Source organism: Homo sapiens, chromosome 17 (assembly GCF_000001405.40).
Source record: "Homo sapiens chromosome 17, GRCh38.p14 Primary Assembly".
NCBI classification, from domain to species: Eukaryota; Metazoa; Chordata; class Mammalia; order Primates; family Hominidae; genus Homo; species Homo sapiens.
Genome location: NC_000017.11, coordinates 12,731,391 through 12,748,394, shown reverse-complemented (window position 1 = coordinate 12,748,394; position 17,004 = coordinate 12,731,391). Strand labels below are relative to the sequence as shown.

The 17,004-nt window shown below is 45.3% G+C and overlaps 1 protein-coding gene across 5 annotated transcripts in view; it reads right to left on the bottom strand.

Moving 5' to 3' along the window:
* Positions 1–17,004, bottom strand: part of MYOCD (myocardin) — a 103,060-nt gene that overhangs the window by 20,555 nt on the left and 65,501 nt on the right. For 4 of the 5 annotated variants that reach the window (NM_001378306.1, NM_001146312.3, XM_005256863.1 and 1 more), the window contains 4 exons: positions 12,059–12,234; positions 9,067–9,192; positions 3,959–4,212; positions 2,323–2,476 (listed from right to left, as the gene is read on the bottom strand). In NM_001378306.1, the coding sequence (NP_001365235.1) occupies positions 2,323–2,476; positions 3,959–4,212; positions 9,067–9,192; positions 12,059–12,234 (710 nt within the window). The remainder of the gene's footprint in view (positions 1–2,322; positions 2,477–3,958; positions 4,213–9,066; positions 9,193–12,058; positions 12,235–17,004) is intronic. The other variant, XM_017025342.1, reaches the window with a different exon arrangement.

Below are 17,004 nucleotides of genomic sequence, written 5' to 3'. Positions count from 1 at the left end.
TCCTGAATTATTTTGAAGCAAAGCATACATAATTTCATCCAAATAATTTGGTCTCTATCTCTGAAAGATAAGTACTCTTAAAAAGCCATAATATAATAACATTATCACACCTTAAAATATGAATTATTATTTCTTAATATCAATAAGGTATTCTCTCAGTTTTTTAAACTTTCAGTCTCTCTCTTTCTCTCTCTCTCCAGTTTTTTTGTTTTTTTGTTTTTTTTTTTTTTTTTTGAGACGGAGTCAAGCTCTGTCATCAGGCTAGAGTGCAGTGACACGATCTTGGCTCACTGCAACCTCCACCTCCCGGGTTCAAGCGATTCTCCCGCCTCAGCCTCCCGAGTAGCTGGATTACAGGCGTGCACCACCACGCCCAGCTAATTTTTATATTTTTCGTAGAGATGGGGTTTCACCGTGTTGGTCAGGCTGGTCTTGATCTCTTGACTTCATGATCCGCCTACCGCAGCACCCAAAGTGCTGCGATTATAGGCGTGAGCCACCACGCCCAGCCAGTTTTTTTTTTTTTTAAATAGGATCCAAAAAATTATCCACATACTGTGATATATAACCATGAACTTTTCAAAAAGAAATCAAAGACTTTTCTCTCAGTGTTCTTTTCCTTTTGTGTAGCAAAACATGAAAATTGCTTGCAAATGTCACCTTCATTATATGACCTTTCTGATTACTATTAGCGGGGTCACCTTCATCCATTCCTCTTATTTCTCCCTTTCCTCAATTGTGGTTGCATCATATGCCTCCTTCATTCCTCTTCTCTCTTTCCTTCTCACTCTTTCCATTTTGTTCTTTGTCAATCTCATTCACCCTTCTAGGTTCAATGCTCCACACGTCGCACATGAGTCTGAAATTTCTTTTCCCACCCCTGACAAGACAGCCTGGCTAATTCTTACTGATGGAAATGGATGACTTTTCTCTCGGTTGTCCTGCTGGTACCCGCGACTTGACTTTCCCAAACTGAATGAACTTGCCACTGTCCCTTCACATCAACTCCTCATTCTACTCTCCTTCTGTCATTGATGTCACTCTCCCAAGACTCAGATGGCGCCTCTCCCCATACACACAGTGAGTGGTCAAGTCCAGCCACGTTCTCTCCTGCCCATCTCTCTCTTTCCACTCACGTCTCATACAATAGCAAAGCCCTTGAAATAAGTTACTTAGCTTTAAGCCTCAGTTTTGTCATTCATAAGCTGGTTAAACTGCCTATCATTTGACCTCTTTATGATTCTGGTTTTTATTTTCACTTTTTAAATTGGGGAGACAAAACTTATCTTGCAGGGTGAAAATTAAAGCAAATCTACACAGAATGAATGACAGATGGTTTATATTTAAAAAAAAAAAAAATTGGTAGGGGCTGGGCAGGGTGGCTCATGCCTGTAATCCCAGCACTTTGGGAGGCCAAGGCCGGTGGATCACCTGAGGTCAGGAGTTCGAGACCAGCCTGGCCAACTGGTGAAACCCTGTCTCTACTAAAAATACAAAAATTAGCTGGGTGTAGTGGTAGGTGCCTGTAGTCCCAGCTACTAGGGAAGCTAAGGCAGGAGAATCGCTTGAAGCCGGGAAGCAGAGCTTGCAGTGAGCCAAGATTGTGCCACTGCACTCCAGCCTGGATGACAGAGCAAGACTCCATCTCAAAAAAAAAAAAAAAAAAAGGTAGGCACCATCATCATCATCATCTCCTTATACCTATACTAATTACCGTAACTCTCACCAGCCAATGATTCTGAGCATGTGTATCTAGAGGGATCCACCTGCCTCAGCCTCCCAAAAGTGGGTTTTGAGGGGTCTGACAGATGGCACTATCATATCTGGATCATGTTTCTCTTTGGCTAAAGCATCTCCTGTCTCACTTGTCTCCTGTCTTACTCTTATCTAGAAATAGCCTACTTAAAAATTATTTTTTGCTATGGTAAAATAAACATAAAGTTTGTCTTTTCCCTCTATCTCAAAAGAAAGGGCTCTTGCCCTTTCTTGCCCTTCCACCTTCTGCCCTTCTACCATGGGATGGCATTTGCCAGATACTGGTGCCATGTCCTCGGACTTCTCAGTTCTAGAACTGTGAGAAATAAATTCCTTTTCTTTTCAAATTTCCCAGTTTCCAGTATCCTGTTACGGCTGCATAAAATGGACTAGACAACTGGGGTGTTCAACCACAGCAGGATAAATTCTGTCACCTCCTTCAGTGTTTCCTACAGTCTTCTTCCCCTCCCACTCTCTTACTCCAGATATCAGTTGGTCCTGGTGATGTTAACAACATACTGTTGTATTTGTTTAAAAAAAGAAAGAAACTCATGTCAAATCCTATACCTTCAGATCATCCAGGTTAGGTGGGAGTGGGCCTGGTTTGAAAGAAGAGACACCAGTTTGTCCAGAAAAACTGTTTTTGACAGGAGACAAGGGGGTATTGCTCAGTGGCGTTGAAGAAGAGTTTGGATTTCTGACCATCTGTTCATTTGGTTCCCTAAAAAACAAACAAAGAGGCATTTCAAGTACAATCAAATATTGGTGGGATAACTTGCATTTAGATCGGATCCCAAAGTGATTGCCTGCAAGGGTCAGGCATGTAATAAACCAGCAGAAGAGACCAGGGTGAGGAAAAACAACACTGCCGGCTAGACGGTAAGCGGTGCGTGACATCTGAACTTTGTTTAGGGAGATAAGAGGGAGTGGCAGGGACTTTGGCATATGAAAGAGGACACATCCACCTGTGATTCAGCTGATGCTCTGTCCTGGGGAGGCCAAACACACCTGGTGAAGCTTGGTTGCGTTTAGTGCTCAGCATAATTGCTAGTATATAGTCTGAGGATGACACAGGAGGAATCTACATCTCAACTTTATATGTGGGGATATTGACAATTTAAAGGGTGACCTGGCCAGGCACGGTGGCTCATGCCTGTAATCCGAGCACTTTGGGAGGCCGAGGCGGGTGGATCACCTGAGGTTGGGAGTTTGAGACCAGCCTGACCAACGTGGAGAGACCCTGTCTCTACTAAAAATACAAAATTAGCCGGGCGTGGTGGCGCATGCCTGTAATCCTAGCTACTAGGGAGGCTGAGGCAGGAGAATCGCTTGAACCTGGGAGGCGGAGGTTGCGGTGAGCCAAGATCGCGCCATTGCACTCCAGCCTGGGCAACAAGAGTGAAACTCCATCTCGAAAAAATAAATGAATAAATAAATAAATATATTTAAAAAAAATAAAAGGTGACCTAGCAATGTGGTCACACAACCTGGGCTCAGGAGTCAATCTTTGAGAGTGTCTGTCAGCTGCTCAGCCCTGTTCCTTCTAAAAGCAGAAGGGCATCGGAATTGCTCATAATTCCAATATCACATTCTTAGACTTTCCATAGTCCAACTTGAAAGTGCTAATACTTTCCTTTTCCCCAAAGGGGCCTCTTATCAAGGGCATTGATTTATAGCAGTCCCTCCACCTATTGGCAGTTTCACTTTACAAGATTTCAGTTACCTGAGGTCAACTGCAGTTCAAAAATAGTTGTGTCCAGTACAATAAGTTATTTTGAGAGAGAAACCACCACATCCAGATACCTTTTATTACAGTATCTTGCTATAATTGTTCTACATTATTGCTAGCTATTATTGTTATTCTCTCACTGTGCCTAATTTATAAGTGAAACCTTATCACAGGTATATATGCCTAAGAAAAATACAGTATATGTAGAGTTCAGTACTCTCTGAGGTTTCAGGGATCCAATGAGGGTTTGGAATACATCTGCAGATATAGAGGGCCCTGTATTTGCTTCCTCCCAGTCTTACGGCTCTGAAAAGGTGTGCATAGTTTCTAAATTGAGTCACCTTCCAAACATACTGGATGAGGAAATGGTGCAATACAGGACTTGCTAGGCCCCATGGTGCTGGCAGATAGATATTAATAGACACCCTTCCCAACCTCTGCCCACAGCCACCCTCCCAGCCTTGCCGGACTTACTTAAGCTGAGCTTGGTGCATCCCTAGGTAGCTGAATCGGTGTTGCTGCTGCTGCTGCTGCTGGCTGAGGATTTGGAGCTGCAGGAACAGCTGCTGTTGCTGGAGCAGCCGAGCGTAGGCTGAGTCCATAGGTGGAGGGGACTTCTCTGCCTTCTGGTCTGGGGGAATGTACTGGTGATATTTAAGCTTCTTCACCTTTGGCTTGGGGTCCTTGGGCTTTTTGTGGCGGTTCTTACTGTCACCCAAGGATTTGGACTGCAAAGAAGATGAGGAAATTGCATGTGCTTTAGGTGATGGCTGAGAATGATTTTGCATCATGGACACGTTGTGAGGCAGTTTTGTCTGATGGCCATTCTTGGATCTCAGAAATATAATATAGCAAAGGCATGATGTACAAAGAGCTCCTAGGACACTAACGTTGCTAATGAACAAATCCATTGCAAATGTATCACACTGGAAGGACACTCCTTAGACAGGGAATGTTGAATCTTAGAAGCAGCTCCAGAGTTTTTCCTTTCTGGAGTACAGCAAAATGTAATCCTGTGTTTCAATGAGTGCATTCTCCTAACCTAAAACCAACTGATGACCTAACAAAGGTTGCATTCTGATCTTGAGACTACTTGTAGAAAGTTCTTTCATGGCTGGGAGCGATGGCTCACACCTGTAATGCCAATGCCAACACTTTGGGAGGCCGAGGCGGGTGGATCACCTGAAGTCATGAGTTCGAGACTAGCCTGACCAACACGGTGAAACCCCTTCTCTACAAAAAATACAAAAAGTAGCCAGGTGTGGTGTCAGGCGCCTGTAATCCCAGCTACTCGGGAAACTGAGGCAGGAGAATTGCTTGAACCCAGGAGGCAGAGGTTGCAGTGAGCCGAGATCACGCCATTGCACTCCAGCCTGGGCAACAAGAGCGAAACTCCATCTCAAAAAAAAAAAAAAAAAAAAAAAGAACTTTCATATGCATATGTGCAGTCACTTTTAGTTAAACACTTAATAAGTCGACTTATTAATGACATAAACTAAGATAAAACTAAGATTTTCTTTGAAAATCTAGAATGTGGTTATTTGTTGCTTTGAGCTGAAAGTAAGATAAACCTTGCCTATCTGCCTGCTGAACACCCTCTCGCCTGCCTGCCAAATACCGATGAAAGATCAGGAAGTAACACCTTTTGAAATAAGGACACTTTACTTATTATGGGAAGGGTTATCCACCTAACTGGAACACTTCCCAGAGTTGGAACCCAAAGCATGTATTGCATGATTTGGACACACTGAATCAGGAAGTTAAGGGTATAGTCTTGGAAGATAAGACAAATTTTTGAAAGTGGTACAATTACTTAACTTTAATACATCTCAGTTTCCTCACCTGCAAGTTGGAGAAAATATTCTTTACTTTTTCTCTCACTAATCAATATAAAGACTATAAAAGATAATATTGAAATAATAACAGGTAGTCAATGAACAGGTAATTATGTCTATAACCTGCTCCTGAAATAAAAGACCTTTGTATATTAGGAAGGAATGGGTCCATCCTGTTATCAGGTTAAAAAAAAGTAATTTTCAGGCCGGGCGCGGTGGCTCATGCCTGTAATCCCAGCACTTTGGGAGGCGGAGGTGGGCGCATCACTTGAGGTCAGGAGTTCGAGACCAGCCTGGCCAACATGGTGAAACCCTGTCTCTGGTAAAAATACAAAAAATTAGCTGGGCTTGGTGGTAGATGCCTGTAGTCTCAGCTTCTCGGGAGGGTGAGGCAGTAGAATAGCTTGAACCCAGGAGGTGGAGGTTGCAGTAAGCCGAGATTGCGCCACTACACTCCAGCCTGGGTGATAGAGCGAGACTCCGCCTCAAAAAAAAAAAATAATTTTCAAACCCTGACTTTATTACAGAAGGTTGAAATGAAGAACACGGATGTCATGACCACGAGTGAGCTAGGATTTGGGGGAACATTGGAAGGAAAGTGTGTTTCCACCGGTGTCCAGAAGAGGGGGCTCCTGAACAGCTGGCAAGCATATTCTGACTTGGCAGGTTCCCCACTTCAACCACAAACTACACATCTGAATGTGACCTTATCCAAAGGAGCTTACAACTCACTTGGACTCAGCGCAATGCACCCCCAAAGGCTCTTTTGTTTTCCAAAGAGACTTCTTCCTGGCGACTAATGAATAATGAACACAAGTAGTTGGGTGTGTTTGGTGGCTCCGTTTCTCTCTGCTTACTAATCGATTAGCATTCTAGTTAGTTAATCAGTCTTCTGTCCTTGGAGAGTTTCTGCAGGGCTCCCGAAACCAGCTCTGCCCTGGCCTGCTCCAGACCAGCTGCTGTTGTCGCCTCATTCTGAGGCTTGCCTTGTCTGGGGAGGATGGGAGCTGCAGCCCTGGCAGGGTCCCGCAGCTAAGTCGGAGGTCCAGGAGCTTTTTTTCTCTATGTTGCCTTAGCACATTCCAGAAGATACTGAAATCGGACCATTTACTCTGGATAGTCTGGGGTAAAGGCTACTATTACTATTCTCTTTTTGAGCCCAGGGGACACTAAGGTTTTTGTGTTTGTTGACCAAGCAGAAGAAATGATGGCTCTTCTACAAACAACCAGCCTGCCGGGACCAGCTGGGTGTCTGTAAGAATCGCCTTTTTCACAGAAAGCGATCTGTTCATCTCCTGGGCTTCTATCATACTTTCTACTACAGTGAGGTTGAAGGCTTTGCTAATTTTTTTTTTTTTTATATATATATACAGAGTCTCGCTCTGTCGACCAGGCTAGAGTGCAGTGACTGCGATCTCGGCTCACTGCCACCACCCCCTCCTGGGTTCAAGCGATTATCCTGCCTCAGCCTCCTGAGTAGCTGGGATTACAGGCACACGCCACCACGTCCGGCTAATTTTTGTATTTTTTGGTAGAGACGGGGTTTCACCATATTGGCCAGGCTGGTCTCGAACTCCTGACCTCAGGTGATCTGCCCGCCTCGGCCTCCCAAAGTGCTGGGATTACAGGCGTGAGCCACCATGCTCCACTGCTAACTTAAATTATGCAAAATTTAAATACTGTGATAGAAATATGAATAACATTTCTTTTTATACTCAGCTTTAGAAATAACGGGACTCATCTCCTCCTCCTTCCCCTGCAATGAACAAAATGCATTGATAGTCACATAATTTCCGACCTGTTGAGCTGAGTGAATTGTCAGCTGGGTTTAAGCTCTTGTGGTTTGGTGGGGGAGCCTTATTGGCAAACTGAAGTGTCTATCATCCATTAGACCATAAAACTGTTACTATATCATTGATTTTTACTTCAATTTACAATCTTTTTTAAGTCCCGTAAGAGTCATTTTAACATTCATTAAGTGGTGGCACTCGAGCTGAGAAAACGTGTTCCCAAATCAGTTGGAAGTTATTTGGGTATAGGCCAGGCACGGTGGCTTACGCCTGTAATCCCAGCACTCTGGGAGGCTGAGGCAGGTGGATTACCTGAGGTCAGGAGTTCAAGATCAGCCTGACCAACATGGAGAAACCCCGTCTTTACTAAAAATACAAAATTTGCCAGGCATGGTGGTGTGCACCTATACTCCCAGCTACTGGGGAGGCTGAGGCAGGAGAATCACTTGAACCTGGGAGGCGGAGGTTGCGACGAGCTGAGATCACGCCACTGCACTCCAGCCTGGGCAACAAGAGTGAAACTCCATCTCAAAAGAAAAAAAAAAGGAACACAAAGGGAAGTTATTTGGGATAAAACATTATAAAGAAGGCCACATGATTACCAGGCAATTAACTGAAGAGAGAGCAGCCTGTGTACTGTGAGATGCGATGCTGGTGTTTATAGAAGCACGAGTCGCAAGTGCAAAGATATGGACCCAACCGAAGTGCCCATCAACCAACAAGTGGATAAAGAAAATGTGGTACATATACAACATGGAATGCTACTCAGCCATAAAAAGGAATGAAATAATGTCTTTTGCAGCCACTTGGATGGAGCTGCAGGCCATTATTCTAAGTGAAGTAACTCAGGAATGGAAAACCAAGTATCATGTGTTCTCACTTATAAGTGGGAACTAAGCTATGAGGATGCAGAGGCGTAAGAATTATGTAATGGAATTTGGGGATTGGGGGAAGATTGGGAGTGGGGTGAGGGATAAAAGATTCCGTATTGTGTACAGTGTACACTGCTCAGGTGACGGGTGCACTACAATCTCCGAAATCGCCACTAAAGGGCCGGGCGCAGTGGCTCACGCCTGTAATCCCAGCACTTTGGAAGGCCAAGGCAGGTGGATCATGAGGTCAGGAGATGAAGACCATCCTGGCTAACACAGTGAAACCCCATCTCTATGAAAAACACAAAAAATTAGCCGGGCATGGTGGCGGGAGCCTGTAGTCCCAGATACTCGGGAGGCTGAGGCAGGAGAATCACTTGAACCTGGGAGGCGGAGGTTGCAGTGAGCTGAGATCGCGCCACTGTATTCCAACCTGGGCAACAGAGAGAGACTCTGTCTCAAAAAAGAAAAAAGAAAAAGAAAAAAAATCACCACTAAAGAACTTCTCTGTGTAACCAAAAACCACCTGCACCCCCAAAACTATTGAAATAAAAATAAAAATTAACAAAAAGATATAATGCTGAGAAAACTAAACATTTGCTATAATGATTCTAGCTACCTGCCTACTATGAATGAAACCCCGTGGTTATTTCCATAGGAAGACTGGCTTGAATGATGTAAGTTTTACGTTATGCAAGCTTTTCAGGGCTACTTCCCTTGCATAAAATCCAACTGCTGCATACCTATTTTATGAAACTTGCAAATCCTGCCTTACAATCAGCTGTGTCTACCTCAAAGGTGAGCTTATGAAATCTTTTAAGTGGGGAACGTGCTGGCTGGACTGTGATTCCAAAGAAATGCAAACCCACAGCCTTCTCCGTGGCAGAGGTGACTTCTGCTGTGCTGCAAGGATGGTGACCCATTTCTCATCTCCTGTTTTGTGACCCTCCTAGTGAGCTGAACCTCTGCCTGGGTCCTCCGTGTAACTCTCCTCGTGTTGTCAGACCTAACTCAGAAAGTTCTGCTCCAAGTCGGCTCTGTGAGCCGAGCGCTCAGGCAGGGCTTGGAGGCTGATGTGTCCGTACCTTTACAGCAGCATGCACGGCTATGGGGGTGCTGGGGGGGCCAAGCCCCTGCTTCCCCGCATCTGACTGGTGGCTGGGCTGTGAGGCTGAGTCATTTCTGTCATTTTCTGAGCCAGAAGCAAGATCCTGAAATCCAAATGTTACCGATATTAGGAAGATACAGGAATAAGTTGTGTGACACAGAAATGTTAGAGTCCGTATATATACCTCTGCTGCTTTCATCCTAGCTTCTCACCCAAGTAAATATCAGCCTACTCCCTCAGTGGGAGGAGTCACATACGTATATGTGTGTATATATGTGTGTGTGTATATATATGTACATGTGTATACACATATAAATATGTTTATGTGTATATACATATATACATATATATATATAAACTTATCATCCAGCTGAGAACACTTTTGAGAGAGAAAGGGAATCATTCTAAGTAATGATTCCAAAAGACAGGTATAAAACTGGTCTGTTCTAGGCAAACTGGGACATCTGGTCTCGGTGTGTGGGCGTTCCACCTGTGTGTGACAAGGTCCACCTGTCTTGATAATGCAATTGAAAAAGAGCAGCAGGGAAGAGTGAGTGTAGGAATTTGGGGGGAAAGTAGGACAATGAACAAGGTAGATAAAAAGGATGTTAGCAGAAAAAGGGAAAGTGTGTGTTTGGAAGTGTGTGTGTGTATCTCCAAGTGTGTGTCTGAGTGTTTATATGTGCATGTATGTGTGTACGTGCATGCGTGCTTATGAGCATGTGTGTATATATGTGTGTGTGCATGTTAGGTGTATACGTGTGTGTGTGTGCACATGTGTGCACACAGGCATGTATATGTATATGTGGTTTTGTGTGTATACATATGTGAGTCTGTGTGTGTGTTTGTGTGTGCGTGCGCATGCATGTGTATAAAGTCATAAGAAACCTTTACCAGAGGTAGAGTCTGTAAAGGGAAAAATTATTTTCTCTTTCTCTCCTATATTCCTCTGTTTCAACTCTGACAAAAAGGAGCCAGGGCTGCCCATGATCTCTCCATGGGGGGTGAGGAATGAGCTTTGCAGTTCTTCCCTGAGCCCTGCCTGGCACCTGTCAAAGGCCCAAAGGATTCTTTTCTCTTGGAGCCTCAGTGTCCTCATCTGTCAAACATGATTGCCGGGAGAAATGACAAACAATGATTTTTGCATCTTGCCTGGCATTGTTCGGTGCTTGTTCTCTTCTTCCCCTCTCCTAAGGTGAAGCAGAAAAGAACTTGCCTTTTCCTCAAACCATTCTTAAATCAGAAGCTTAGGAATTTACTGTCAGAATAATGTGTACAAATGATCTGATACACCGTTTGATGTTATCAAAGAAATTTGGCTGCAAAGACCAGCTGTGGCATGCAGGGGAAGGAAAAATGCTTTGATTATACACTCTTGCACAATAAACACACAAGTATTCAGCTCAGCTTTCCATGCCTCCCTTTTTCCTCCCATTTCACTTTTTCTCCTTGGCAGCTTTAGGTTTGCTCTGATGGGGTGAAGATAGGCATGACGGTGATCAGTAACTGGCATGGTTTTGGGAAACGAGGCACTGAATGATAATTATTTTAACTGTCCCTAATATCTGTATGGTACTTTTCAGTGGGAAAAAATAACCCAGCTTTCAAATGTATCTAATTTCAGTTCATTGCACAATTTCTGTGAGGCCAGGAGTGGTAAAGGGAAGGGGCTGAGGGTCTGAAGGGCTCTCTGGATAGAGACAGAGTTGGAAGAGCTCACATCTGGCTTTCACACTTACGCATCTCCTTCCCCTCATATGTGGATGCCCGGGTGCATCTCTCTTAAGGGCTCCATACCTCTGGCTGGATTTCCCCGGCGTGGCTGACACTCTGCCATACTTCTAGAGCCCACCAGTTGCTCGGCCTCACAGAGCTTTAGTTCCTTCTCTGTCAGAATCAACCTCGATGATACCTACTTGGAGGGGTCTCTGATTTCAAATGAGGAAACTTTTGTGATGCACTTGGCACTGCCCCTGGCCCAGAGTGAGCACTTAATATGTAGCAGGAACTGTTGTTCATAATCATCATTATTCTTTTTTTTTCCCCCTTTGAGATGGAGTTTCAATCTTGTTGCCCAGGCTGGAGTGCAGTGGCATGATCTCAGCTCACTGCAACCTCTGCCTTCCGGTTTCAAGTGATTCTCCTGCCTCAGCCTCCCAAGTAGCTGGGATTACAGGCGCGCACCACCATGCCCGGCTAATTTTTGTATTTTTAGTAGAGACGGGGTTTCACCGTGTTGGCCAGGCTGGTCTTGCACTCCTGATCTCAGGTGATCCGCCCGCCTCAGCCTCCCAAAGTGCCGGGATTGCAGGCGTGAGCCACCGTGCCCAGCCCATAATCATCATTATTCTTTATAAATGTGCTTTAAGAGTATTCTCAATACATGTTCCTCATGCTCAAGGGTTTGTAGATTTGTACAGAAAGAGGTGAATGTTATGGTTGGGTTGGGGCTGAATTTTGCTGCAGCTTGCTAGGTAGAAACCTGCTAAAAGCAGAAGCAACGTGGGCCTCCCTGCCTTGGAGAGAGCCAGCGTTTCCTTCTCTCCACTCCCTGGAGCCCCGTAGTGAGTCCTCAGTGCATAGAGAGATGGTGAACTTTGAATCAGTCCTGCTCTGGCACTTTCTAGCTGGGAGATTGTTGGCGAGTCATCCAATCTCACTGAGTCTTAGCTAGTTTGTCCATAAAAATGGAGATAAAAGGTATCTGCTTGGCAGAGCAGATGCTTAATGGATAAGTTAAAGGGTGTAGTTCTGGAGGTTCTCTTTCAGTGTTTTCTGGAGCTTTTGTCACCCCACACAGAGGCCTGCGCTGAATAGAGTGAGAAGAGGCATCAAAATGCTGTGGCAGCCAGGGACATCTCTGCATTCTCTAAGCAAAACCAGCTGTTAACAGTGTTGATGTTAAGACTGAAACGATAATACACTGAGATGCTGTTTTACTTTTTTCGTTTGTTTGTTTTGTTTTTTACCTGGTTTGTCCCCAGAGAACCTGTCGAAGGGGTATCTGAGGCTTTAGCGTCTGGCGGGGATCCCGCTGAGTTTTGGGGGTCTTCACTTCGAGTCTGATCCGGAGAAAGCCCATCGCTGCTGCTGTCCTCTTCAAAGGCAAAAGCATCCGTGGATTTGGAGAAACTCACCTGGTTACCTGAGGGGGTGAAATCCAGGAACTTGGTCAGTGGCTTAGGAGCATCAAAGGGCATTTTTGGAAATGCTTCGATGTGTCATTTCTATTAAAAATACACCTCTCTCTCTCCAGTTTGTTTTAAGTTTAGGTAAGAGTGAAGCTATACTTTAAATTATTTGGTTTATAAAAAGCGGTTTGTTTGGCATGGAGGAAAGAGTGCTCTATCAAAGGTCTATCATCACTTGTTAAACTTTATTTTCACGTTTCTGCATTTCTTCCTGTTTTCTTTGGGAACCCATATGTTTTTGAAACTAAACTGGGGAAGGTAAGGAAAGAACAGGGAATGCTGGGTGCAGAATGAGGCCAGAGGAAAACATGGTGGGAGCATGCGCCCGTGTCCCTCGGGTTTTACGATGAGAGATGGAATCGAGATGACAGCCTGCCATTTGCATCATCTTCAAACATAAAGCAGGGCGCACAGCACGCAATGTTTAGCAAACTTTGTTAATAAGGATAAGCTAGGACAGCTACTAAGTTTAAATTCCTAAATGTCAGAATTAGCTAATGTCACCAGTGCATCCCAAAGAGCCATTCAACGAATGCATGACTGTTTACAAAAGCCATAAATGTGTCTCAGAAACCTCAGCTTGATCCTCATTTTTTATTATTTGGCATTTCTTTGTATTCCTCATATCTTTGTGTCTATTTTGGAATTCCTCAATGGCTCACACAAGCAGAGACTCTTCCTCTGCCGCCTGCATGGTTTTGCTAAGGGAACAGACAAATTGGTGTGGGAGAGGGGTTATCACACCAGATGGGACTAGAATGACATCCTTACATTTTTATTTGCCAAATTTCATCTGGTTTATTATCCAGCTGCACAGTACACAATGTGCTGAAGCCACATAGCTCTCCTGACCCGAGTCCAGGGACTGCTCTGCGCTAAAGGAATTTAGGTATTATCAGGAAGTTTTCCAGTCTGATATTCTGCAATCACACTGACAAGAACTTTTGACTCTTGCCTTGTGCAGATAAGAGAAAGGAGCTCTCACCGCAGGGATTGCAAAGGCAACGAGGAGCTGGAAGTAATGGAACAAATGTGGCTTTGGGCTTGTCATCGCCACCACTGCTGGCATCTGTCACAGGCCCTCTCACAGGCATCCAAGTGTCACATCAGGAAGGAGGCCGTGCAAGGACAGGGCAGGGGGAAACTCCAGTCACAGGCCCATGGGGCGGCCCACTAACTGGGAAGGGTTTGGGGCTGAGCATTTCTGCTCCAAGGTTATTTATAAAAGTCATTATCGCTTTACCATGAATATAAAAGTAATACATGTTCATCATAGAAATTCATACCTTAGAAAAATGCCTAATGTGGCTGGGCACGGTGGCTCATGCCTGTAATCCCAGCACTTTGGGAGGCCGAGGCAGGTGGATCATGAGGTCAGGAATTCGAGACCAGCCTGGCCAACATGGTGAAACCCCGTCTCTACTAAAAATACAAAAATTAGCCAGACATGGTGGCGAGCACCTGTAATCCCAGCTACTCCGGAGGCTGAGGCAGGAGAATTGCTTGAACCCGGGAGGCAGTGGTTGCAGTCAGCAGAGATCACACCACTGAACTCTAGCCCGGGCGACAGAACAAGACTGTGTCTCAAAAAAAAAAAAAAAAAAAAAAAAGGATCATGTGTATTACTGAGGGCCAGGTAGGCATGCAGTAGGTGGGTGGGTGGATGGGGGTTAGGGGGTTAAGTGTTCCCCACTCTAGAAGTCACTGCATTTTCTTGGGATCCACATGGCACGTGCCCCGGGCCAGTGCCATTCACACTCTCAGAGACCCTGCATGTGACTTTGTCAGCCTCTCAGGGCAGCCAGTCTTCTCTGCCCAGCAGGACCCTCAGTCTGAGAGCTTTGTGATGTCACCTCCCCTGCCCACTTCCTTCAGTCTAAATGCATGTGGACCTTCTCTGATCTGATACTTCTCATGACAAAGACTCCTCCTCTCTCCACACAGGGTATCACCTCCCAGATGTGTACAAATTAGAGGAAATTAACCAAATTGCAAAATCTACATATTCTAACATGGGTGGAAATGTTAAGAGAAGGGGAGAGAGGGTGGTTTCTCCTCTTATGACCCCAAAACCCTAATTTCATTGTTTCAAGTAGAGAGAGAGCAAATAATAAAAATAGCAGGTGGCTGAGTAGTTTACCTAGCAGTGGCAGCAATAGCAAAAACAGCTAACTTTGTTAGACTTCATAATAGTTCAGGAAGGGGGCACATTTTCTCATTTCTTTCTTTTTTTCTTTTTTCTTTTTTTTGAGACGGAGTCTTGCTCTGTCACCCAGGCTGGAGTGCAGTGACATGATCTCAACTCACTGAAACTCCCCCTCCGAGGTTTAAGTGATTCTCTGGCCTCAGCCTCCCAAGTAGCTGGGACTACAGGCATGCGCCACCATGCCCAGCTAATTTTTGTATTTTTGTGGAGACAGGGTTTCACCATGTTAGCCAGGCTGGTCTTGAACTCCTGACCTCAGGTGATCCACACACCTCGGCCTCCCAAAGTGCTGGGATTACAGGCGTGAGCCACTGCACCCAGCCTTCTCATTTCTTTTTAATAAATGAACACATTGTAAGGTCAGGTCTACCCAGTTATTTTGAGACTGAACTAGGACCACAGTATCAGCCGTTGGAATCTCAGACTCACCTGGTAGAGGGGGTGGCAGAATTAGTCATCTTTCCTGGAAGTCAGCAGGTGAAGCCATTGTATGGTTTATGGTACATCATCAACCTGCTTGGTTGATTGGGGGATAGGTAGGGCAGGGGTAACACAGAAAATGACCAACATCTCTACTATTTGGTTGTTTTTTTTTTTTTGAGATGGAGTCTTGCTCTGTTGCCCAGGCTGGAGTGCAGTGGCACAATCTCGACTCACTGCAACCTCCACCTCCCGGGTTCAAGTAATTCTCCTGTCTCAACCTCCCAAGTAGCTGGTCCTACAGGCACCTGCCACCACATCTGGCTAATTTTTTGTATTTTTAGTAGAGACAGGGTTTCACTGTGTTAGCCAGGATGGTTTCGATCTCCTGACCTCGTGATCCACCTGCTGTAGCCTCCCAAAGTGCTGGGATTATAGGCGTGAGCCACCGCGCCCAGCCTACTTCGTATACATAGGTCATATGCTAAGGCTGTCTCCAGAATTCCACAAAATAGCTGAATTTTTGAGATCTGAGGGACTGACTGTGACATCTTGCTTTTGAGGAACAAAGAAGGCAGGAGATTCTGGGAAGGGAGAGTCCCGATGAATTTAATTCGGACTTGCCTCAGTAAAGGGGTGGAAAGATTGTTGCAGCCCTGAAGTTACTACCAGTGAATCAGCCCTTTCCACTCTGACACCTGGCATTTGGTGACCCCAGGTCGAAGCACAAGAATGATGTCGAAAAGTCTAGAAGTTGAGTATCTGGAATAAAGGTGTAGGTAATCAATCCCCCTTTCCCCAGGGCTGGACGGAGCATTCCTAAATTGTTGCGTTTAACTCCAGCCTTCCCATTTTAAGAGGAGCAGAGACAAGCTGAGGTGTGATCAGATAAGATATGGCTAAGAGAAGAGACAGAAAACCATGAGAAAGGAGATCCTTGTATCTGGATGGGACACAATCAGAGAATCTGTCACGGGCCAGACTGCCTGGTGAGTGCTGGTGGTGGTTACAGAGAGGAGACAGCGATGCGAAGTTGTCCAAGAAGCCTCCCGGAGGAGGTGGGATTGAATGGAGCCTGAAGTGACTGTCAGCGGTGGACAGGACAGCAGAAAGGGAGAGGGGCGCGTCTGACAATGAAAGGATGGGGCGTGTGGACGAGAAATGATAGAGTGGCCATTAGCATGCTTGGGTTGGGGAGGATGACAAAGAAGTGCTTTCAGCCAGGGGAGAGGGCTATTTTAGGAGCCAACCCCTGGAGAGACATTGCTTGTAGGAGTCTCCCTTGCTTAAGTCAATGAAATGAGGAAACCATGAGTGCATGGAACTACATCCCGCGTACGGGTTTACACCTGCGTAAACAACCAGGATGAGTGCCAAGGCCCCAAATATGACTCCTCTCCGGTATCTAAAAAGCACAATGTGCCAAGTTAGAACATACTGACAGCTGCACTGAGGACCACTGGTCGCTGTCCAGGCCACAAGATCTCACCATGGGGGCCCCTGTCAATCACCACTCTTTCAGGGCTACAAGTGACTGGTTTAGATTTGCCACTGCCAGGGCAGAAGATGAGGGAAAGGGCAGGGAGCCCAGACACAGCTATAGACTTAGCTCGTCGCTGTTGATGGGAAAAACCTTAACAGTGGAGGGGCTCCTGTAAGTACATAGCAGTGGCTTCCTTTTGGCATGAACACCTCCTGTGGTGTTCGGTGTGGCCCACAAGGCCCTGGGTTCTGGAGTCAGACGCATTTGAGTTTGCTTTTTGGTTCTACCAGTTCAGGGATAGCGTGACAGTTGGCAAGTTATTTGACCTCTCTGAGCCTCAGTTTCCCCATCTATAAAATGGGAATCATCATCATAATAGCTAGCTTTCAGGGTTTCGAGGATTAGGTAATAACATATGGAAAGCACTGGGCCCAGTTCCTGACGTGTAAGTGATTAATAATTTCTTGCTGTTATTGTTGCTATTGTTGCTATTGTTTTTGGTAGGAGCATCTGTTTGTCTCAAGTTTAACATCATCAAAAATAAACAGACCACCCGGGAGGCAGTTTATCCTCTGGTCAGCTTTGCAAAGGTCAGCACAACTCCAGAACCAGAAA